Source organism: Homo sapiens, chromosome 13 (genome assembly GCF_000001405.40).
Source record: "Homo sapiens chromosome 13, GRCh38.p14 Primary Assembly".
NCBI classification, from domain to species: domain Eukaryota; kingdom Metazoa; phylum Chordata; class Mammalia; order Primates; family Hominidae; genus Homo; species Homo sapiens.
Genome location: NC_000013.11, coordinates 98,323,465 through 98,349,266, shown reverse-complemented (window position 1 = coordinate 98,349,266; position 25,802 = coordinate 98,323,465). Strand labels below are relative to the sequence as shown.

At 42.8% G+C, this 25,802-nt stretch overlaps 1 protein-coding gene and 1 long non-coding RNA gene across 4 annotated transcripts in view; both read right to left on the bottom strand.

Annotated features, from left to right (window-relative positions):
- Positions 1-25,802, bottom strand: part of FARP1 (FERM, ARH/RhoGEF and pleckstrin domain protein 1) — a 312,588-nt gene that overhangs the window by 105,910 nt on the left and 180,876 nt on the right. For both annotated transcript variants that reach the window (NM_001286839.2, NM_005766.4), the window contains exon 3: positions 5,401-5,505. In NM_001286839.2, coding sequence (NP_001273768.1) covers positions 5,401-5,505 — 105 coding nt within the window. The remainder of the gene's footprint in view (positions 1-5,400; positions 5,506-25,802) is intronic.
- LOC105370327 (uncharacterized) lies at positions 16,029-21,061 on the bottom strand. 2 transcript variants are annotated; one of them, XR_002957490.2, is made up of 3 exons: positions 20,943-21,061; positions 20,108-20,731; positions 16,029-16,496 (listed from the first exon to the last, which is right to left on the bottom strand). It is a non-coding gene; the product is annotated as an uncharacterized LOC105370327 (long non-coding RNA). The 2 variants fall into 2 exon arrangements; XR_931667.3 differs by having other exon boundaries at positions 20,460-20,731.

The window sequence follows — 25,802 nt, the reverse complement described above, 5'->3', positions numbered from 1 at the left end:
TTGTAAAGTATCTGATTAGCCCTCATAATAACCTTGTAAAATGGTCATTTATTCCTCTCATTTCTCAGATGAAGTGCAAAATCAAGGAAGTTAAGAATCAACCTAGCAGCTAAATGACAAAGCGAATGTTTAAACAGATATGCAAGCCACAATGCAGAGCTTTTCCAGCTAGCCTCAATAGGCCAATGAGATAAATTTTCCGTATACAACTATCTCTGCTGTTACGGTTTGTGCAGCTCTTTCCGACGGGAGATCCAAGGACAGGCAGCCACATGCGACATACAGAACATGAGCTTTAGCTAAGAGAGGCTCTGTGTGGATCCTGGTTACACATTTCATTGTTAAGGACTGGGCACGTTACTTCTCTGGATTTGCTCACTGTAAAATTTGGGTTATAGAATACCTACCACAGAGATTGGCAAACTACGGCACATGGGCCAAATACGGCCAGGCTACTCCCTGTTCTGGCACAGGTCCGAAGCAGAGATTGGCTTTTACATTTTTCAGTGGTTAAAAAAAAAATCAAAAGAATCACATTTCGTGATATGTGAAAACTATATAAAAGCCAAATCTCTGTGCCCATAAATAAAGCTGTATTGGAACACAGCCACATCCATTCATTTCACATCGTCTACGGATGCTTCTGCTCTGTGAAGACAGAGTTGAGTGTAACAAAGCCTCTCACCAGGCCTGAACTTCAGCCAGGCTCCTCTTCTCCATGAGGCCTCAGCCTCAGGCTTCCGTGTCCAGTTTTAGCAAGAATCCTGCAAAGTCCGTTTCGAGGGAGTCCCCTGGCCAGCTCCCGGAACTCGCCCCCATGGCCATCTAATGGCTTTCTGGCCCTTTCCCAGCCTTCAGACTCTATGTACCAATTAGCAGCCGTAATAAGCACGGGGTCTTGATTCCCATGATCAGTAGTGTTTCTGCCATGGAAAGCTCAATCTATACTTTTAAACAGCTGATTAAAACACTTCTGTTGTGGAGTGATCCTTTAGGGACAGTGCTGGACAAGAGCAAGAGCAGGACAAGAGCCAAGGGCAAGAGCAGGCCAAGCTTGCGTGTCAACACTGCAATCAACTCTTTTAATTGACAAGCCTTGGGACAAGTCTAATTAAGGGTAGAACATAATTATTTCATAATGATCAGTAGTTTATTTACAATCTTGAGAAACACGTCTTAGACTATGAAAAACCCTTATTTTCCCCTTAAACTCCTTCACATCCTTACTATGAATAAGGCTCTGACTTGGGTATTTATAAGACAGAAATGATGAGAAGAAAGACAGAAGGCTGGGCAGAAATTCAAGCTGCCTAAATTCAACAACTTATTGCCTAGAGACAAGGATTCACAACCTGACATGCCAGGTGCTTGGGGGAAACTAGTTTCCCACACATCACACACAGAGAAATGGGGTGAACCCAGTTGTTACAGCCCTATGATTGGGCATTTTGAAACCAACCATGCTTTTTCTCAGGTTGGAAGACAGGTGCACAGTCTCCCAAATGAAGACTGGCAGAGGTGACAGTCACGATGGTGATATTAAAAAATAATAGTGATGGCACACCCACGTTCATTGCAGCATGGCTCACAATGGCCAAGAGGTGACGGCAATGTAAGTGTCCATCCATGGAGGAATGGATACTGGAGACGTGGTGAATATACACAATGGAAATGGTATTTGGCCTTAAAATGGAGGGAAAGCTTGTTGTATGCCACTGCACAGATGAACATTATGCTGAGTGAGATAAGCCAGTCACGAAAAGACAAAGACCACACGATTCCACTTACTTGATGACGTGTCTAAAGTAGATAGACTCAGTAACAGAAAGTAGAACAGGGGCTGGGGAAGGGGAACTGGGGAGTTCTTCAGTGGGTGTAGAGTTTCCACTTCACAAGATAAAAAAATTCTAGAGATCTGCTCTACGACAAAGTACATGTAGTTAACACTTCTGAACTACACACTTACAAATGGTTACAAATGTGTTACTTGTTTTTGACCACAATTAAAAAAATAATAACTACGAAGATGACGATGGTAACAAGTTTCCATAAATAATGCTTTTGGAACACTTCAATGGATCCCAGACACTGGGTTGCACGCTAAGAGACATTGTCAAGCAACTGTGTCTGGGGCAGAGGGGAAAATCCAGCTGGTGCTTACGATTCTCACAAGGTGAGATGCTCTTCCTCAGTTCATACAAGCAAGACTGGCCTGTGGCACTTCCAAAATAGACTCTGTCTGATGACCTTTTGGTCATCATTTCTGCTACTGTGTGCTTTCATTGCATTTTGGAACTTTCATTGCATTTGCATCTGTAACTATTATTGAAGTTATCGATGTCACATGTTGTAAGGCAGAACTCACTGGATTTTTACAAACTGATTGTATCCACGGAACCAGCATCCAGATCAAGAGAGAGAACACACCCAAGACCCTGGCAGCAATCCCTATAACTCCTCCAGTCATTTACGGCATCCCCTCAATTACCACAGATCCATTCTATCAAAAGAACTTTTTTTTTGAGATGGAATCTCACTCTGTCACCCAAACTGGAGTGCAGTGGAACGATCTCAGCTCACTGCAACCTCTGCCTCCTGGGTCCAGACAATTCTCCTGCCTCAGCTTCCTGAGTCACTGGGACTACAGGCGTGCGCCACCACACCCAGCTAGTTTTTGTATTTTTAGTAGAGATGGGGTTTCACTATGTTGGCCAGGCTGGTATCAAACTCCTGACCTTAAGTGATCCTCCTGCCTGAGCCTCCCAAAGTGCTGGGATTACAGGCATGAGCCACCACACCCGGCCTCAAAAGAACTTTTAAAAATTGAGGCGGGCGGATCACCTGAGGTCAGGAGTTCGAGACCAGTCTGGCCAACATGGTGAAACCCCATCTCTACTAAAAATACAAAAATTAGCCGGGCGTGATGGTGGGCACCTGTAATCCCAGCTACTCAGGAGGCTGAGGCAGGAGAATTGCTTGAACCCAGAAGGCAGAGGTTGCAGTCAGCCAAGCTCGCACCACTGCACTCCTGCCTGGGCGACAGAGAAAGACACCTTCTCAAAAAAAAAAAAAAAAAAAAATTATATGCAATTAGCTCAGGCTGGAATTCAGTAATTAACAGAGAGTCAAGTCAGTTTAGTGATATGGTCAGAACAAGATGATGACTGAGGGAAGGCACTTCTACAGATCCGAGCTTCAATCCCATTTCTTTGCTGTGTGCCTTTGGGTGAACAACTTAACCTCTTTAAGGCTTAACTTCCTCATCAGAAAAAGGGGCTATAATGCACCGTTGCAGGAATAAATGAAACACTATATGTGAACCTAGCACGGTGCCTGGCAGTTATCACTCTCTAGAGCATGCGTTGGCCGACTATGGCTTCCTGTTATATGAAGTTCTGCTGGAACAAACACATGTATTCATTCACATATTATCTGTGGCTGCTTTTGCATGATAAGGGGAGATTCAAATAGTTGCAGCAGAGACTGCATGGCCTATAAGGCCTACAGTACTCTCTGGCCCTTTACAAAGAAGGTGTGACCCCTGCTGTAGAACGTGGGTCATGCGTGCTGCTGTACCCATAGGGACTAGAACACTCCAGCACATAGGAAGCACTCATGGGGCGGCTTTTGTGTGACATGTGACAAACACTTACTTATTTAAGTCATCAACGGTGGGTTTTATTTTGCAGTTGAATACATTCCTAAACAATAGTGTAAGAATGGAGTGAAATCATAAAAGTCAAGCCTGGTAACAACTTGAAAGAAGTCAGCCCTGCCCGGTACCTAGAAAGAACAATAGGCTTACAAATTCTAGCAAAAGAGAAGCACCTATGGTTAACAGAAGAGACGCTGAACTTGGAGTCAGAAGAACACAGAATCTTAGCTGTGCCATTAGCTAACTGGTAGATTCAGACATGGGGAAATTCTTAGAATCTTAGCGCCCTCAGCTGTGAAGCCCAAACACTGCTGCCGATTTCTGGTTTAGACAAACAGCTCCTGCAGGACTGGAATTGGGCAAGACTGGAGTCAGGAAAGCCATCAGGAGCTTAAAGGAATTCAGGCAGGCACAGAACGGGGTTGTTAGAAATAATGAGATAACGGTATCTTCAGGTGTTTTGAGAATCATTATTTTACCATGAAATAAGAGCATGAAACAATATTCCGCATAACTTGCTACACTCTAATTGTTTCCTGGACTCTCTTCAGAAGCTGTGTGTGCCTAGTGAATGGAAACCGTAACTACTTCTTGCTAGCTGTCACTTTATCTCACCTTTCATGTGAAGTCTGATGCCAGACACAGTGTAGGCACAAAATAATTGTTAGCTGAATAGGAGAAGGCAGAATGAGATTTGGCAGGTCTGTGGTCATATGCCACACTGTAAAAAGGGCTGGGAGTCAGGGAATCTTGGATTTGAAGTACAAACTAGAAAACGACAGAGTGTTTGGAGGTGGGAATAAATTGAGAAAACACAACTTGTTCTCATTTTTAGGCCCATGACAGATCCGTTCATTCACCACCTGCTCTGCTCAGAGCCAGGCTCGATCTGCACTGCCTCTGACGGCTCTTCCCGTAGATGCTGCCGTCCCACCTGTGGCCACCTTCTCTTCACAATGAATGTTCTCATCCCGTTTCAGAGCTTCGACAGACATTCATAATAATCACAAGATTCTTGAATCCAAATTTCCACCCAGATCTCTTTCCCGTGCTCCAGGAAATACACCTTCTGGCACTGCCTGCTGGATGTCTCCACTGAATGCCACGGATGCCCCTGCCTCCTCAAGCTGGAATGGGACTCATCTTCACCCCCGGGCATGGTCTTCCCCAGGGATGGGCACTACTGTCCACCCAGATGGCAAAGCTGGAAAACTGAGCCACTCCAAGCCCTCTCCTCCACAGGGGTATTCATTCAATCACATCCTCTCCTACTGCCCCCAACCCCACCTCTGGAATCCATCCAGCTCCTGCCAGCCCCTCTACTCTCCCTTAGTTCTAGCCAGCACCATCTCCAACCAGACTCATCGCTAGATCCTGATGGCTTTCTTGACTCCAGTCTGGTCCTATTCCAATCTGCCTACAGTTCTCTTTCTAAACCAGAAATCAGATCATATCACACTCTCTTTTAAATGCATTAACAGCTTCTCAAACATATTAGTTTGGGTATAGAACTGTGAGGGCCGATACATAGCCCTTGGCCACATGTGATGACTGAGCACTTGAAACATGGCTAGTCTAAACCAAGAGGTACTGAGGTGTCAAATACACACCAGATTTGAAGACTTCACAGACAAAACAGACAGCATGAAAATATCTCACTCACAATCATTTAGACTGGCCCCTGCCCAGCCCCCCACCAAGATGAACAGACAGTAAAATAGTAACATTAAGTTGACATCACCTACCGTGATCTTTTTGTGATCAGGAAACTCGAGGCCAAAATAGTCACCTTCCACGAGGTTGAGGTGGTTGCAAACTGCATCCAGCAGCACCTTCCCAGGAGCTCTTTGCTGTGAGCAGAAACAACAGGGGTTATCCCTGAGGCAGGCACGGATGAAAACAAACCACAGCTCCTCGCTGCAGGAAACCTCTGGATTCCTAAGTCTGCAGGTCCTTCAGAGCTTGCCACCGCCCACCTCCGTGACACCCTGAACGCCAGCCCCATCTACACCTCCGTATCCCAGCACCTGCTGTTCCCAAAATTGGATGCAAATCTCTTAGCATTTTCTTCCCACTCCAACGCCAGGCATCACTCCTCCCACCTTATTCAATTAATCGACTATTTTTTTAGAGTAGTTTTAGGTTTACAAAAAGTTGAGCAAAAACTTCTTCGCGCTACACAGTGTCCCGTTATTAACCTTGGTGGTAGAGATTTGCTACAGTTGTGGAGCCAATATTGACACAGCATCATCACTCACACTCCATAGCTCACACAAGGCTCACTCCGTGTGCTGTAAAGTTCTATGACAAATGTGTTGTGACCCGTCTGCATTACAGCATCATACAGAATAGTTTCACTGCTTCATATGAATTTCACCCTAAAACTCCTCTGTGTTCCAGCTATTCCTCCCTCCCTCCCTCCTAATCCCTGGCGAACACTGATCTTACTGTCTCTATAGTTTGCCTTTCCCAGAATGTCATCTAGCTGGACTCATACAGGACTCATACAGTACGTAGCCTTTGCAGACTGCCTTCTTTCATTCAGTAATATGCATATAAGATCCTTCTGTGTCTTTTTTTTTTTCTTGAGACAGAGTTTTGCTCTTATTGCCCAGGCTGGAGTGCAATGGTGTGATCTCAGCTCACTGCAACCTCCACCTCCCGGGTTCAACTGATTCTCCTGCCTCAGCCACTGGAGTAGCTGGGATTACAGGCATGTACCACCATGCCAAGCTAATTTTATATTTTTAGTAGAGATGGGGTTTCTCCATGTTGGTCAAGCTGGTCTCAAACTCCCCACCTCAGGTGATCCACCTCCCTCAGCCTCCCAAAGTGCTGGGATTACAGGCATGAGCCACTGTGCCCTGCCCCTTCCATGTCTTTTTATGACTTGGTAGCTTATTTATTTATTGAAACAGAGTCTTGCTTTTGTCACTCAGGCTGGAGTGCAATGGCGCGATCTCAGCTCACTGCAATCTCCGCCTCCCAGGTTCAAGTGATTCTCCTACCTCGGCCTCCCGAGTAGCTGGGATTACAGGCACCTGCCACCATGCCCCGCTAATTTTTGTATTTTTTAGTAGAGATGGGGTTTCACCATGTTGGTCAGGCTGGTCTCGAACTCCTGACTTCAGGTGATCCACCTGCCTCAGCCTCCCAAAGTGCTGGGACTACAGGTACGAGCCACCGTACCCAGCCAGTTTGTTTATTTTTACTGTGGAATAATATTCCACTGTCTGGATGTAATACAGTTTATTCACCTACTGAAGGACATTTTGGTTGCTTCTAGTTTTGACAATTATGAATACAGGTGTTATAAATATTTCTGGACAGGTTTTATGTGGACATTAAGTTTTCAACTCATGACCCCAGGCCTTTTTTGTAACAGTCAAAGCCCTGTCCCTGTGCCTCTCTCCTTGTCCACAAATATGACATGGATGGTTTCCTCCTCTACATTCCTGTAGCACTCTGTGCAGTATCTCATCGAGACTATACCCACATTGAAGGGAAAGGCCATATTTTGTTCATCCCTGTATCCACAATGCCTAAAGACCAACCAATTTTGTGGAAACGAATGAACAAATCAATAAAAGTTATCCATTCCACTGTATTATAGATGGTTTAGTACCTATGTGTCTATGTCCCCAGTTAGTATCAGGCCACTTGGTCATCTTTGTATTCTTATTGCCTAGCACAGCACCTGGCAATCAATCAATGTCTGCTGAAATCAATACTATTCATGCATTTTCTACATACTGGATCTATAGGGAAAGGGAATATTATATATAAGAACCCACGTTCTACCCTAAAGAGCTTAGAATCATATGCCTCAATTTCTTTTCACTATGTACATTCCCAGTGACTGATAGTAAAATGGATCAATTCCACCATATAGATCAAATCTTGGGAGACAAATGCTTTCACGACATTGCCATTCACAGTTACTTATTTTTGTTGTTGTTGTTGTTTGTTTTTGTTTTTTTGAAACGGAGTTTCCCTCTTTCACCCAGGCTGGAGTACAGTGGCACGATCTTGGCTCACTGCAACCTCCGCCTTCTGGGTTTAAGTGATTCTCCTGCCTCAGCTTCCCAGGTAGCTGGGATTACAGGCGCCCGCCACCACGCCCAGCTAATTTTTGTATTTTTAGTAGAGACGGGGTTTCACCATGTTGACCACGCTGGTCTCGAACTCCTGACCTCGTAATCGGCCTGCCTCAGCCTCCCAAAGTGCTGGGATTACAGGTGTGAGCTACTGCACCCAGCCCACAGTTACTTGTTTTATACTTCTCACCTCTTCCCTGAGAACAGAGCATTTTAGGAACCAATTAGTAACCCTGGAGACTGAGTGACAGCAGGAGTCAAAGCCCGCCAAGTACACGGATGGACATGTCCATGAGCCTGTACCAGCATGAAACAGAGGAGCCAAGAAAGATGCTGCTTGATGCTCAACATTAAGTACTTTTTTTTTTTTAACAGATGCCGCTTTACACCCCCACATTCGCCCTCACTGCAATCCAGAAGATACACATTCTGCACAGATGATCCCCAAACTCTCCAGGCTCTAGATCTTAAATGCCTGACAGTGGCAGAGTCACATCACCTGCAGGAATGTCAGGAGTCACATGTGACTGCGTGGAACCCCCATTCTTCCCTGCCAAGCTCTCCTCTTCTCCAGGCATGCTTATCCAGAGGAAATGGGTCAGGAGAGCAGAGTGGAACACTGATCACCAATCTTATCTTCACCACTTTGCTACAGCAATGTGCCCTGTTTCCGACACACAGGGTCAGACAAGCATTTCCCAGGTCGGTTAATGTAGGGAGCAATGAGCTGCTCCATTCCAGTCCCTAATCCTGGGTTTGAGTCCCCACACCAGCTGCCAAGAGCTGCATGGTTAACTTATGCACAGCAACTTATTCGGGGTCCACCTCTCACTCCAATAAAATCTGCAGACATTAATAAGAACATTATAGGCCGGGCATGGTGGCTCACGCTTGTAATCCCAGCACTTTGGGAGGCCGAGGCGGGTGGATGATTTGAGGTCAGGAGTTCCGAGACCAGCCTGGCCAACATGGTGAAACCCCATCTCTACTACAAATACAAAAATTACCCGGGTGTGGTGGCCCGCTCCTGTAATCCCAGCTACTCAGGAGGCTGAGGCAGGAAAATTGCTTGAACCTGGGAGGCGGAGGTTGCAGTGAGCCGAGATCACACCACTGCACTCCAGCCTGGAAAAATAGAACATTATAAAAATGGACCAAAGGATAAGAACTTGTGGAAGAATTCCCATACTGTAAGATTTTCTTTTAAAGGAAGAACACATTCCAGTTTCAGAACCTTCTTTCTCATAACTCTTAACATTTCCTATCTGTGATGAAAATAAACCACCAATTATCTGACCAGCTGGCAAGCACTCACATTTCCCAAAGAGTTCTGGGAACTAAGGGAATTTGATAACTTCATCTAGATTTACAGAGTCTGGGAAATGAGACTTAAAAATTCAATACTAGAAATCTCAAAAAGTTAAAAAAAAAAAACTAATATACAGTGGATGTCTTTATGGACATGGTGTTAAACTGAGCGCTTTAGAAGAGGGGAGGGGGAGAGTTAACATCTACACTGGGTACTCCAACGAGTCAGCAGCGGTTTCTGTGAATGTATGGAGTGCATACAATATGAGGGCGTGTTGAGTCCTAGAACCTGCAGCCTTGCCGCCCCAGCACTGCACACTCCTTAGGGCCTGTCAGAGACAAGTGAAACGATGATGATTAACTAGCTGCATTGTCATGGGTTTGCAGTAGAGACTTAGGATCTAGCTAATAAATCACAAGTCGATCCTTAAAACTGTTAAAATTATTTTATACAAAATGTTTATAGAAAATGACTTTTCTTTGGCACCAAATTTTTATAGGGTGATGTCAACTTATAGTTTCAATAGTATATTTATAGCTTCTAAAATTCATCTGTAAAATAGATGTCCATAAAGCATTACACAAATTCCCCTGTGAATACTGGCTCTATCTATGGTTGTAAGGAAACTCCGTATGTAACATCACTAAGGGCTGAAATGCACCCACTACATGACAATGGCATGGGTAAATGGCACTACAATGGTGATATGTTTGGCTCTGTGTCCCCACCCAAATCTCATGTTGAATTGTAACTCCCAATGTTGGGGGAAGGACCTGGTGGGAGGTAGCTGGATCATGGGGGCAGATTTCCCCCTTGCTGTTCTCCTGATAATGAGGAGTTCTCATGAGATCTGATGGTTTAAAAGTATGTGGCACCTCCCCCTTTGGGCTCTCTCTCTCTTCTGCTCCACCATGGTAAAACGTGCTTATTCTCCTTCACCTTCTACCGTGACTGTAAGTTTCCTGAGGCCTCCCAGCCATGCTTCCTGAAGAGGCTGTGGAACTATGAGTCAAGTAAACCTCCTTTCTACATAAATTACCCAATCTCAGGTGGTTCTTTATAGCACTGTGAGAATGGACGAATACAAATGTGCTACGTGGACTGTGCATTAACACCCCAATGTGTACCGGGCAGCTAAGCCTAAAGCGCTTCAAGACATAAAGATACCCTCATGGTCAAGGACTTCCTCTCCCTTTCTTTTAGAAAGGGGTCCTGAACTATCTAAGTGTGTCAACGCACACCAGGTTAAAGCCTGCTTCTGAGGAAGCTTCTCGGAGAAGAGAGGCAAAGAAAGAGCTTGTATTTCATTAAGAAAATGATTCTTCCTTTTGTTCCTATAGTAAATTTATTTCATCAGCTTGCAGCATCATTTCTCTGTACTTATTCCCAGTGAGTTTTTGAACTTCACTCTGAAGGTAATTCTGCTCCACGTCACATCCCAGAATGCAAAATGGTGCAGCCACTATGGAAAAACAGTACAGCAGTTTCTCAAAATTACAAAAATAGTCTTATCCTAGGATACAGCGATCTCACTTCTGAGTATACAACGAAAATAACTGAAAGCAGAGTTTTGTAAATCCACGTTCACAGAAGAATTATTCACAATAGCCAAAAGCTAGAAGCAACCCAGGTGTCCACTGCTGAATGAATGGATAAACAGTATGAGGAGGACGATTCCACACACTGGAGGATGATGCAACCTTCAAAAGAAAGGAGATTCAGGAACATGCTACATCATGAATGAAACTTACAGACACTGTTCTAAGTGAAATAAGCCAGTCATCAAAGGACAAATATTGGACGATTCCACTTCAATGAGGTGCCTAGAGCAGGCAAATTCATAAAGACAGAAAGTAGAATGGGGGTTGCCAGGGGCTTTGGGGAGGGGAAATGGGGAGTTAGTGATTAACAGGATCAGAGCTTCAGTTTTGCAAGGTAAGAAGAGTTCTAGAGATGGATGGTGGTGATAATCACACAACGATGTGGATGTACTTAATGTACTTAGTGCCTCTGAGTGAATGTACTTAATGCCCCTGAACTACACATGTAAAAACGGTAAGTTTTGTTACAGGTGTTTTACCACAATTTAAAAAATGCAGACGGGAGAAAAAGTAGTTGAGGAACAGGGCTCACATCTATAAACAACTGAAAACGGTAATTCACAATGCAATCTGTTAACACTACTTTTAAAAATAAGAAAACAAAGAATCTATTTTCTTTACATGAGATCTTCGAAAAATATTATGAGGTAGGACCTTATCACATGAGGAAAATGGGTGACTATCCATGTGTATGCACTAAATAATTGCTAATATTTCTTTACCCAAAGAGCTCTTTTATATGTCTGGCAAAAAAAGGAATAAACTGAACATCTTTGGAAATAATGGCAAATTATGCATTTGGGGCAGGCTTTGCACTGAAAGCCAACGATGAGATAGATTCAAGAGCCACAAATCCACTAGCCTTTTATTGCTAAAAAACCAAACCTGTAAACAAGTCAAGTTTGAATGGGGAAAAGGTGGAAACAGCACAGATTAAGCTGACAGAACTCAAGAAAAAAGGCCCTGTGGAAAATTCATCAGTGAAAGTATTTTCTTAAAGGTTAACTTATTTCAAAACACACACACACACACACACACACACACACACACACACACACACACACACGGCTACACAGACTACTATACACAAGAAAGCAAAACCCACTTATCTAGGCATCATTTGAAAACCCATATATGTGAGTAATGGTTTAATATGAGAAGGATCTGATGACAAATGAGTGTTTTGTTGTTTTTCCAAGAAAAGTAATTATTTCTGTTATTTAAACATTTTTTTGGAGACAGTGTATTGCTGTCGCCTTGGCTGGAGTGCAGTGGCACCACTGTAGCTCACTGCAACCTCAATCTCTGGGCTCAAGCGATCCTCCCACCTCAGCCTCCCAAGAACCTGGGACTACAGGAGCGCAAAACCGCATCTGGCTGATGTTTTTATTTTTATTTTTAGTAGAGACGAGGTCTTGCTATGTTGCCCAGGCTGGTCTCAAACTCCTGAGCTCAGGTGATCATCCTGCCTCGGCCTCCCAAAGTGCTAGGATTATAGGTGTCAGCCAGTGCACCTGGCCCAAATGAATGTTTATGATGTCCTCAAGGGTTTGTGCTGGGGCTGGGGGTAGATCTCTCTAAGGCTCCCATCAGCTCTAAGAAACCACCCCGTTCACTATCAGTCTCAATCGTAATATTCCTGAAGGGTTCTCCTTATAAGAGGCCAAACAGTCACTATAATGTTCTATTTTGGAATAACAAACCAGCAATTCGTGAAACTATGTAATGAAATTTTTGTCCTTTTCTTTTAATGGCTACTTTTAATGATGCTCTAAAAGGCAGTTGAATTTTAATCTAGCGCACCAACCAGTTGGCTGGCTCCATGCTCTGTGTCCCTGTTGCCTTCTCCATCCTCAATTGGCTTTTCATTGGAGCCTATAAAATTAAACTTAGGAGGAGGTTTACATTCATGGGGAAAGCCTGGCAAGTACGCACTGAATACTAAATAGCATGCATGTTCACACAGCGCTTCAAGCTATTACAAATTATGACTCAAAGTTGCTCCAGTTTATTGTGACTTTAAAACATTTCTAGGCCGGGCACAGTGGCTCACACCTGTAATCCCAGCACTTTGGGAGGCCAAGGCGGGTGAATCACCTGAGGTCAGGAGTTCGAGACCAGTCTGGCCAACACGGCAAAACCCCATCTCTACTAAAAATACAAAAAAATTATCTGGGCGTGGTGGCGCGTGCCTGTAGTCCCAGCTACTTGGGAGGATGAAGCAGGAGAATTGCTTGAACCCTCCCGGGTTCAATCAACCTCTCCGCAGAGGTTGCAGAGAGCCAAGATCACGCAACTGCACTCCAGCCCGGGCGACAGAGTAAGACTCCCTGTCTCAAAACAAACAAACAAACGAACAAAAACAACAACAGAAACAACATTTCTATGTCTTCAGGTTATTTCTATAACAAAGTTTTAAGCAGGAGTATGTTTTGTTTTCTTTTCTAAAAGAATAAAGACACCATTCCTTCTATAGGTTGGGAGTATATTCTCCCTCTCCCTACCACATTAAATCATCTAAATCAATTAATTCCCTACCTGAGAGAGCTAAAGTACTGCCTTGTGGAAATCATCTCATAGACAGAACTTGATAATGTTTGACCAGGTTTACAAGGTTTGCACCTCCTGGGGTTACAGAGAGCCGTTTTGGGAAGTGTTTCATTTTTGCTGTTTTGGGATTAGCGTAACCATGACAACCAAGGCATGCTCTCACTCAGTAGAAGGGAATGGCTGGTCTCGAAGGCCTTGTGCCCTTCTCCCTACCACTGATACCTATCAGAATATTGTTCAAAATCCTATAACCCACCAACTCTCGACCCATCTCATCTTAGGGCATCACAATGTCACAGATTTTCCTACAGCCCTTTGGCAGATTTTGACCAGGTGGGCAGAGGTATTAATAACTATGATGGCTTGAGGAGGCTGCGGTGTATTTATCGAGCAAGTTGCAGTGTGCAGTCACTATGCTAAGCAGACAGAAAGGAAAGCAAGAAGATGAGCATCTCTCTTTGGGTCAGTGATACGGTTTGGCTGTGTCCCCACCCAAATCTCATCTTGAACTGTAGATTCAATCTCATCTTGAATTGTAGATTCCCATGTGTTGTGGGAGGAACCCTGTAGGAGGTGAGTCAATCATGGGAGCAGGTACTTCCCATGCTGTTCTCGTGATAGTAAGTCTCACAAGATCTGATGGTTTTATAAGGAAAAGTTTTTCTGCACAAGCTCTCTCTTTGCCTGCTGCCATCCATGTAAGACATGACTTGCTCCTCCTTGCCTTCTGCCATGATTGTAAGGCCTCCCCAGCCATGTGGACCTGTGGGTCCATTAAGCCCCTTTCCTGTATAAATTTCCCAGTCTCAAGTATGTCTTTAACAGCAGTGTGAAAATGGACTACTTCCGTCGATGATGTACAAAAATAACCAGCTAAATTGGAGTACATGGTAAGTGGCATGTTAGAGGAACTAGCAAAAAGCTGTAGAAAGTCAGAGAATAGAGCAAATGGCTATTCTCCCTGATGGAGGTGTTCTTTGAGAGTGGAGTACCTAATGTGTTTTTAGAAGTAGCCCACTTGAATGGGTCCTGAAGGATGAGTAGGAGTTTGCTAGGTAAACACAGATGGAAACGTGATGACTTAGTATGCTCAGGTGGACATAACCAAACACTACGCACTGGGTGGCTTAAACAATAGAAATTGATGTTTTCACAGTTCTGGAGGGTGTGAAGTCTACACTCAAGGTACGAGCTGATCTGGTTCTCTGAGGGCTCCCTGCCTGGCTTGCAGATGGCCACCTTCTCCTTGTGTCCTCACATGGCTGAGTGACAGCAAGCGAGAGCCCTCTGGTGTCTCTTCTCCTAAGGTCACTAGTTCTATCAGATCAGAGCTCCATCTTCATGACCTCATTTTACCTTAATTAGTGTACTTCCTTACTCCAAATACAGCCACATGGTGGGTAGGGCATCAATAAATTAATTAGGGTGGGGAGTACAATTTAGTCCACAGCACATGAGTCATGAAAGGGCTAGAGATGCTATTTTATGCTATTATTATCTCCCTTTTAAGACTAATGTGAGAATTCAATGAAACCATGACCATAAAGTACCTAGCAAAAGGCCTGGCACATGATACACATTCTTTATTATTGCTGCCACCGTGATGGTGAAGGGAAATTTACAGAATGAATTACAGGGGATGAGTTGACACTGCCCTTCTGCCTGTGTGTATCAAAAGTATATTAGAAGCCAGAACAGGGTGTTACTACCTTTTTCACTTTCCAGACATCAGCAGTAACATCTGTGTAAAGCTGGACACTTGAGCCCTGGACACTTGAGACCAGATGCAATGCTCTAGGGCTTTACCCTGTGGGCAGAAGGGATTGATATACCTGCACACCTGCACCTCAGCTGTGCTGTATCTACTGGGACTTTCCAGGCTGGAGGACAACGGAGTGCCCAAAGTCACACTCACTGGAGGCAAGCTACTTCTTGTGCCTCAGTTTCCTCTTACATAAAATGGACGTAAAGATTGAACCACTTCACTGGGTCACCGTAAGGATTAAGCGACTTAGTATACACCATGCCCTTAGAACGGCATCCAGACTAGGCGAGCTCTAATGGGTATTTGGGATGATGATGATGATGTGGAGGAGGAGAAGGTGGAGGAGGAGAAGTTGGAAGAAGAAAAATTAAATGACTCAAAAGCTGAACAGCAGACTGGATGGCACCCTCGTCAGGAAACTGCGACCACCGACAGGAACTAAAACTTTAAATCCAAACCCTGGGGAGCTGGAACAAGGCTTTCATTCTGGGGCAAAGTAGCTAAATGTTTAGGCCTGCCCATCGGTTCTGACCACAAATGCTGCGATTCTTCCTGCTTGCTGTGGCTCTAGGGGCGGCCACACTGCCCCTGAGGACACACTGTCTCCTTGTTCCCCTCAGCAATAAGTCCCAGCGTTCAGAACCCTCGTTAAACACACTTCAGATTAGGTTTCAGAGTCCCCGACTCCAGGCTGTGAAGAGAATGGGCCCTTTCAGCTCCCTCACTATAATGGAGCAACGACACAACCACGGCGTCATTAGTACACAACTCCCTCCTTCTTTCATTCCAAAACTCTGCAAAGATAGATTTTGTGTGTGTGTGTGTGTGTGTGTGTGTGTGTGTGTGTGTGTGTACATGTGGGGGATTTCTACTGCTTTCTTGCAAACCTGGTATGAAGCAAGCAACAGAAACAAAAACATTTAGGGGAGAATCCAGCTCTTCATAGTGCTAGGTTTGTCATCTCCTGATCTTGAGTAATTCATTATCTTTTCACCCTTTTAGAAGTAGATGAATAAAAAATTCTAAAATTTATCTAAATTAAAAAATCATCTTGACAGCTTGATACTTTAATATCTATTAGGCAGAGAATAAAATATCACACAAAAACTGAACAAGGCAAGTATAAACCAGATGACGACTGCTTGTAGAAAGTAGGACACCACTTCCAGCAAGAGCAAAAGATGTGTCTTTTTCCTCATGTCTAGTAAGATTGGCACTTTTCTCCTTGGGCTCAGTGGTCTAATGAAGTCATGAAAGTGCATTCAGCCCACTGAACCTGAATCTTTAGAAAACACACCTGGTATCATATACTAATACTTGGCTTCCAAAACTATTATTCCAAAGGAAGGCGGAAAGTAGAAATTGTGTTGAACTTAGTCCCGTGACTCAGCAGAAAGGTGAAGACTTTGTAAAACAAAGCCACCAATGACACCTGTGGTTCCCATTGTCATCTTCCATCATATGCAGGCGAAGTTCTTCAACCTTGTCTCTGAAGCACAGCTTTTCCCCAAGAACCGATCTTAACGTGAATGAAAAATTATTCTGTTTACAGACACTTTCTACAGAAACTACTTTTTTAACATTTTTTTCAAATAGTCAGTTGGGAGAATGGGAAGATTTTCTTACCCCTTAGAAGGAGACTTTAATGTTTTTATGCAAAAGGCTTTTAAACTGAAAATCCATGCATCAAACTGAAGTATGAAAACACAGCTTTCCGGATCCTTTAAGAATTCTTAGCTCTTTAGTTTCCAGAAAACTTCCCAAACATTTTTACTTTTCATTCTTTTTTTAAAATGTACTTTTCAGGTTTAATATTCTGTTAACCACGGGAGTGAGTGGGGGTGGGGGTGAGCTTCAGCTCCAGCTTTGTGTTCTGCAAAGAGGTCAGAGTTCTAACCAGATACTTGGTATTTATTCTCCTTTGAAAAGCTGGAAAGCTCAGATTAATATGGAAAAGAACTTTACAAACAGGTATATAACAAAAGTACAATCATATCCAACAGACACAGAAAGGAGAATGGTGGTTGTAGGGCTGGGGGTGGAGGAAGGGGAGAGGGGAGTGGGGAGTTAGTGTTTAATGGGGACAGAGTTTCAGTTTGGGAAGATGAAAAAGTTCTGGAGACATGGGGATGGCTGAGCAACAACATAAACATACTTAATACCACTGAACTGTACACTTAGAATGGTTAAAATGGTAAAGTTATGTTACGTATATTTTACCACAATTAAAAAATGGGGAAAAAAGCATATCCGAAAATACTGACAATCTACAAAATGGACTGGTAAACTGGGTGGGTGTGGGGAGGGTAGAAAAAGTCAAGCACTATAAAAAGTATTTTCATTATAAAGATGGAAGGAAAACTAACTTTGATGTCATTTTCAACAGATGAAGCTATTACTATTAGGCGCAAAACTGTGGGAGATATTTGGGAACAGCATAGAATAGGGGAAGGCAGGGGTTCTAGGCTCATCACGTCAACACTTTGAAGCTGGCTTGCCACTTACTAGCTGTGGGGCTCAGGCAGGTCTCCTGGCCTGCCTGGACACTGGCTTTCCCATCTGAACAATGGAATGATGACGTCCGATAAAGGAGTGGTTGTGAGAGTTAAATGAAGGAAATATACATAAAGTGCTAAGCACCAGTGCCATCATCCAGCAGGGATTCAAGAAGTCAGTTACCCACCTTGCTTCATTTTTAGTTGAAATATGTTGTGTTATTTTCAACGTTTGGTAGCTATGAAAATTCCACCTTCAGTATTTTTAAACCTCACCGTACTTTAATCACTATAAAATAAAACTTAAACTTCCCCTCATATTTCACTATCTTCTGATGAGCAGCTGGGGAATGAGACACTGACTAGAAGAGGAAAAAGGTGGGAAATGGGGTCTCTATGATCCACAAATGAGGAAACGACTAAGAAACAAAAAATGATATGGGTTCACTACGGATGGCAGTCTCTTCCCACTGAAAGCTTGCTAGAGTAGGACAAAATACGAACACATAGATTCTCGATTTAGGAAAAAGAAACTTACAAATAAGCATATAACAAAAGTATACATAAAGCATATCCAACAATGCTGACAGTCTAGAAGGACTAAAAGATTATGAATTACTAAGCACATTTTTTAAAAATATGAGTATCAGACAACCAGTTTCCTTAGGTGTTAATAAACCACAGTTCTGGGAAATAAGATGCTTCTGCTTTGTTTACAACACAGATTCTGTAAGCTCCGTCAAATGCAATAGAAAGGGATGCTGATCGATGGCCAGGATTTAATTAAAGAACTAATTCCAACTGATGATAGCAGTGATTCCAAGGGCACTCTGGAAATGAGGCTTGCCTGAAAACTTCTAAGCACTCATGTCCTCTGGCCCCAAACCTAGAGAGCCTCACATGCCTAAATGTTCCTGCAATGACTCTACTGCACATACACACTCATACATCTGTGGACACTCATGACACTCAGGAACTGGGATACCACGCAGCTTAATGACATTCTTTACCTTCTGTGAGTACCTTAATTTTTTTTTTTTGAGATGGAGTCTCACTCTGTTGCCCAAGCTGGAGTGCAGTGGCGTGATCTTGGCGCACTGCAACCTCCGCCTCCCAGGTTCAAGTGATTCTCCTGCCTCAGCCTCTCGAGTAGCTGGGATTACAGGCGCCTGCCACCACGCCCAGCTAATTTTTGTATTCTTAGTAGAGACGGGGTTTCACCATGTTGGTCAGGCTGGTCTCGAACTCCTGACTTCAGGTGATCCACCTGCCTCGGCCTCCCAAAGTGCTGGGAGTGAGCCACCATGCCCGGTAGATGAAATATTTTTTCTGACAATTTCCTTGAATTTCTCTGCCTGCATTTAACCTCTGTCACTTATGATTACTATCTGACTTATCACATAAACAATTTCCAAATAGCTTCTCAAGTCAGCTTTATCAGAAACAATCATCTTCTACTTTAAATCAGACATGTCACTCCCCTACTCAAAATGTTTTTCACTCAGAGTAAAGGCCACAGTCCTCACAATGGAAAAAAGGGTCCCCAGTGATCTGCCCCACCCCTGTCACCTACCTGAGCTCATATCCAAATGTCCTCCCTCTGGCTCACTCCTCTCCAGCCAGGCCAGCTGTTCTCTAGCACACGAGGCACACACCCACCTCCAGGCCTTTGCACAGGCTGGAACACTCTGTCCCCAGAAATCTTTGTGGCTAATTCCCTCACCTCTTTCTTCGCTTTGCTCACGTCAGGCTTTCAAAAGTGCCGACCCTGACTACCCTATTCAAAATTACAATTTGCCCCACACCTCCATCCCTGATTCTGCTCTATTTCTTTTTATTTTTCACTTTTACATACCACTTTCTACACACAAAAGACAACATCTTCTTCTAACGCTCCTTACACACTGCCGTCTTTCTCTGCTGGAAGGCACACTCCCTCAGGATATGGATCTTGTTTTGTTCACGAGAACAGCATGATGCATAGTAGATGCTCATAAAGATTTGCTGAATGAATAAAATAATTTTAAAACCATAATTCCCATGGAGAGACCATAATAATACAGTCTTTAACAAAAACAACTATAAGCTGGGGTCAAGAGTCTAAAGCCAACTAGGGAAAATATATATATATTTGAGACAGAGTCTTGCTCTGTTGCCCAGGATGGAGTGCAGTGGTACCATCTCGGCTCACTGCAACCTCTGCCTCCCAGGTCCAAGTGATTCTCCTGTCTCAACCTCCCAAGTAGCTGGGATTACAGGTGCACGCCAGCACGGTCGGCTAATTTTTGTATTTTTAGTAGAGATGGGGTTTCGCCATGTTGATCAGGCTGGTCTTGAACTCCTGACCTCAAGTGATCCATCCGCCTTGGCCTCCCAAAGTGCTGGGATTACAGGCGTGAGCCACCACACCTGGCCAAGAATATATTTTTTTATTTCAAGAAATTGTTGCTCAAAGAGATGCTGTCTGCAAAAAGCCATAAATGCTGACCATTAACAAAAGGCCAACTATATGAAAAAAGCTTAAAAGAAACAGAGAAAATAGAAGATGACATTCTTTCGATAGGGAAACATGTTAACTTCTACAACAATGCACAACAAAACTAGTCATGTGACGGTCACACAGGAAAAGAAATACCTAGGCGAAGTTTAAACTTGCAGAATGAACGTGTCACATCACAAGCTGTGATAGGCAGCGCAGCGTTTCTACAATACCCCGCAGGCGGCTTTTAAGAAAAAATTAAATATATGACTCCATCGATGTGTTGAGTTTTTCCAGATTCAGTGCTCTTGGAGTACAGGAGGCCCCTCCCTTATCGTCAGTCTTGCTTTCTCTGGTTTCAGTTACCCTTCGTCAATTTTAAATAGAAAATTTTAAATGGAAAATTTCAGAAATAATCCCTAAGTTTTGAATTTCCCGCTGTTCTGAGTAGTGAGGAAATCTCTCGCCGTCCTCTCTGTCCCACCCTGGACATAACTTCTCCCTTTACCCAGCAGATCCAGGCTGTCCGTGCTCAAGGGCCACCTCGGTGAGCAGATCAGCTTTCGAGATAAGCAGTGCTTGTGTTCAAGTCTCCCTGAATTTACTTCCTAATGGTCCCAAACAGTAGTGATGCTGGCAACTGGGGTATGTCAAAGCGAAGCCTTAGAGTGCTTCTTTTAAGTGAAAAGGCCAAAGGTTCTTGACTTAATGAGGAAAGAAAAAGAGTCATGTGCTGAGGTTGCTAAGATCTGCAGTAAGAATAATCTTCCGTCTGGGAAACTGTGAAGAAGGAAAAAGAAATTAATAATACTTTCGCCATCGCACCTCAAGCTGCAGAAGTTACAGCCACAGTGTGTGATAAGTGCTTAGTTAAGATGGAAAGGGCTTTATACTTGTTGAAGGCATGAACAAGAAGAAAGAAAAATAAAATCCTAAGGCTCTCAACCCACAGAACAGACCCTCCTCTTGGCCAAGGGGACCCCAGAGTAACCTTAAAGCTGGGTCTGTGGCTGTGAGGGGATGGGAGGTCTGATGAGCCTGGTTACACCCCCATCCTTGCTTGCTAAAGGCCACAGGCTTTCTTCCCTAAGGGCTGAACAAAAGCCAGTTCTTTCCAAAGATTCCACCTAGGACTTAACCAACAGACTGACACCACCCCTCCCTTTTGTGATGTCAATGAAACAACAAACCAGCATTCCACCAGCCTGTGGGGGCTGTGCAGTGAGGGCCTGCGTGTCCTCAGCTTCAGCTTAACACATTAGAGTCCAGAAAACTCTGCCCTTGGATCATGCTAACACTGCCATGTTTTGAACATGGGACCGTGAATCTCAATCGCGTGCGCATGGTTCTCGTTTCATGAATATTCATGACTCCCCCATAGCTTATTGAATATGCCTATTACCCACCCCATTCAGCATAAATTGTTGTCTTATTCTTCCCCTCTGAAGTGTCTGTTTCTGGCTTCTGACCAGAAGCTATGCTTCCTAGCCTGTCAGAATGCCCGCTTTGCAGGCTGCGACCCTTTATGAGAAACAAAAAGCTCCTTTCCAAATTTACAAACTGTCTCATCCTTCAGCTGACAACAGAAACGTGTCCAGAGTGACAGCAATCAGGTCTGGTACTATCCATGGCTTCAGGCATCCACTGGGGTCTTGGAATGTATCCCCCATGGACAAGAGGGAAAGACTTTATCAGAAACTTCAGTTCCCTTTAAACTGGCTCACCAGTTAACTTTGTTGCTCTCAATGTGATTGTTTTAAAATCTGGCCAAGAGAAGGAAGCCTGAGATTTAGCACATTCCATTGTTAACTCACACTGGTTTTGAGTTTTTTGCTCAGTTTAAGTCCCTTGTTATGAAGCCTTATCTTAAAGTAAACCATCCTAACAAGCACCGTTTTAATGATAATTCCCTTTTATGTAGGTATCATCACTGCAAAAGTTAGCTGTTTGAAAATTGAAGGCAAATGTAAGATATATACTAAGAAACATGGGTTTCGATGACACATTTTAAAAAAAATCCTGTGAAATTATAAACTAAATTTAGTGACATGGGCAGCCTACAGTGACCTAATACCAGCACTGACATAAAAGCCGTATTGGAAAACAGAGAGAGGTTTCTGAAAAAGCAATGCAAGCAATAAGAGCCATCTTTAAAAACAAATATTTTTTAATACTTCTATGATTTGACAGCATTCGAAATGTGAATCTACAGTGGTGACCTACAGCAAAGAATTTACACAAATGAAAATGGAGTGTGTCTCCTTCCATAGAGAGTTAAGGTTATTCAGAGCGACAGTATTCTACCAATTGCGTGTACTCATTAAATGCATTTGGCCCACATTTATAAACAATAACATGAGTGCTCAAAACAAATCAAATTAAAATACCAAAGGACAATAAGCACATTTTTAAAACAGATCTGTCATCTGTCAAAAATTATACATGCCCTAAAAGAAGATGAGTTCAGAGGTTTGCCTAGGAATTGGACAGTTGAGACTCAATTCTAGCTGACACAGGCAGCAAAATGATCTAGTTTTAAAAGCTTAGATCTGCCTTCACCATCTAACTCCTCAACTACGTGAGATGACTTTAACATATTCTAAAGAATTATGCCAACAGAAAAGTTTATTGGAGCTGCATATCCTAGTGGGCACGTACCAGGTACTCTATTTTATAAAAACCACTGTGAAAATTACATATTGTTCTCTCCTCCTGAAAGGCATGATTAGTCCCAATTGTAGTGAATCAGGAGAGGAGATGCAGGAACCAGCACGTGTGGAAAAGAAATCAGGCAACAGATTCGCAGAAACAGAAAACAAAATGGTGCTTACCAGGGGCCAAGGGAGGGGGAAATGGGAAGTTGTTGAGTGGGAATAGGGTTTCAGATTGCAGGATGAAAAAGTTCTGGACCTCTGTTTCACAGCAATGTGAAAATACGAAAAGCTACTGAACTGTATGCTTAAAAACGATGAAGGTGGTAAATTTTATGTAGGTGGGTTTTTTTAACTAAAACAAGAAAAGAAAGCATTAAGGCTAAATCTCCAAGTCTGAGCCTGTGAAAAAGAATGTTTCCAGAACGATATTATAGGCCAGGCTGGTTTATTAATTGCTTGGAAGACAAACACAAAAGCAGAAACAAAACACTATAGACAGGCAACACACCTGCAACTGATTGTCCTTTTGCATATGTTTATTCATTACCAAGCAGACGAAGCCATTTGTGTCTTTATGTTTGATTTTCATTCATTTTTCAAAGCAGTCAGCTATTGAGGGATTGCCCAATAGAAAAATTTCAGAAGCATTTATTATATCATTAACAGCTCCATTTTCACTCAATGTCCCTCTAAGCCTGTCAGGGAGACCTATGAAGAGAAGCTATAAAACAAGCTTTGTTTTCTCTGCTAAAATGCCCTGTGGCTGTTGCGGAGTCTTGGGAACACAGTGCGGCTTTCAGGCCCTGGTTGTTTCAGGTTTTGTTTTGTTTTAAACAAGAGATATAACTCTCACCAGCATGCTGCATTTTACCAAATCCTCAGCCACAAAGACTTTCTTATGACAACTCCATGCAGATCAAACTGGACAAGCTACAAATATTATGACAAATATTCTTGAGGAAACCTGAGTATGTGTTGGAGAAGTATGTGCCTCTCTGATTTCTCAATGCCTTCTGTCACGGCTGTGTAATCTAGAATTTAGGAACCTGATTCTGGGTTCCAGTACAAGGTAGATTAGCAAGACAGGGAAGATCAGCATTTCTCCTGGATTTCAGTTTGTAACTCTCAACCCAGACATTACCATTGGTTCACCAGTGAAGAACTGGAACAGTGCTGGTGAGATGGTTTACTCCTTAAATCATCAGCCTAACCTAAATTTAATCAGCAAGCTGGGGCGTCAGGTGGGAGCCTTCACTTTCAGCAGTGTCGTACAGATGATAGAGTACCAGAAACAGAACATATGAGATAGAGAGCCGTGACAAAGACAAAAAAAGAAAAGGAAAACACAACAGTTTTATTAACCAAGTTAGTAATCACTTGAGTGTAAAGATGAATCCAATAATGTAAAAAATAGAAGCACTGTTTTCAATACTCATGGAAAGATAGGCTGTTGAAACATAGAAACAAAATAATTTCTTCTATTCCAACATCAAATGCATAAACCATATTTTTCAGGGTTTATTTCCACAAGTCTTCCTTACGGACTACTTACCAGTCAGTCTGGGAAGTCTTCATTATTATCCCATAGTTCATGACAGAGTGTTCTGAAGTGCTTCTACAGTATCTATTTCACATTCTCTATCCAATTTGGCCAAGAAATTTCAACTACTGTGTTAAGGCCTCAAAAAACAGAGCATTAAGGCATGGCCAACAAACAGAATCCCTCAATGCCCACCATAAATAATAGTTCGGAAGGCAGCCATGGGCCATGAAGGCCAATAGGTCAGAAGCCATAGGTCAGAAGGTCTTCGCTGTGTGGCTCAAGTCAGAAATGCAGCAGCCAAAGACCCCTGGAATGGGGGCTTCAGCTCATCAGGGCCTGATGCTTCCAAGAGTCTTTACTAGCACAAACGGGAAAGGGAAAAGGAGAGGAATTTGAAAAGAGAATGGTTGTGAAGGCAGAGGCTGCCAAGGACGCTCAGAAACACACACCAGGGGTAGGTGGTCAACACATTTTGATCACAGAAAATAGACCAGTGAGTACATCGCCTTTTTTTTCTGAAAATAGTAAACCATTTTTTTTCTTCTGAAGACATTAGAAAAAGAGCTAAGGGCATCCTTTCAAAAAGTAAACTCTTTCCAGAAAATATCAAATCATGATTCCAACACGCTCTTTAGACTGAACTGATGGATCATCAATTTCAGCTTCATAACAACTTGCAGACAGTTACGAATTAAATGTGAAAACACTGAATGCCAAGGTTACCCAATACAAAATAGATCTTACACAAAAAGCAGTGGGCGCAGCAGGAACCGTGTTTCGCTTTTCCATACTGCCAAAATACACAAGCTGGAGTAGACACGCCAAGATTTCCTCATGAAAATGAGGCTTCCTTCATGAAACACTGGGTGATAAAGGATGAGAGTAACTTGACCTTTGTTTTTCTTTCCAAGCCACAAATGAAAACACAAAGAAAATCAAGAGCCACCTGAAATTTAGAAAACATTTCACAGCCACCATTATACATAACTTCAATGTACGCATGAAATAAAGGACTATCTTAACTCTTTAATGAAACTTTACGAGGAAATTTTCCTAGTGCATTTAATATATTAATCAAGTAATAAAATCCTTCATGTGCAACTCCTCAGACATAGTTCAAGTTGTGATGAAACTCAAAATGTGTATTAGTTATAAATATAAAAATGACTAAATTCAATTCTGGTTCTTGAGTACTTAATTGCTCGGAAGTTAGCTTCCTCATATAGGCTTTAAAAAAATTGTTGACACTCAACAGGAAGACAAAATTATGGGGCTTGAATTCTGGAAAGGAAGAGACATTTTCCTCTAAAGGCTGAATAAAGTTAACTGCAAATAGTATGCAAGAATTGGAGATTTTTTTCTTATCAAGTAGCAAAATAAACTAGATATCTACTTTTTGTTTTTACAATCTGTCTTTCTGCTCTCCTTTAAAAGTAAAAAGTTAATGACCAGAGATGTGCCAATTAGAGAAACCTTAAAAGGTGGCCTTCAAGAATTTTCCTTTAAAATAGAAAAACTTGGAAGGAACAGAATACAAATAGATCAAAACAGGTATGTAATATTTTCATGTGTTAGGAGCAGGCTAAAAATATTTAACAGACATAAATTCAGTGTATTTATTATTGATCTTATAATAATAATGGAAGCCTCAAAT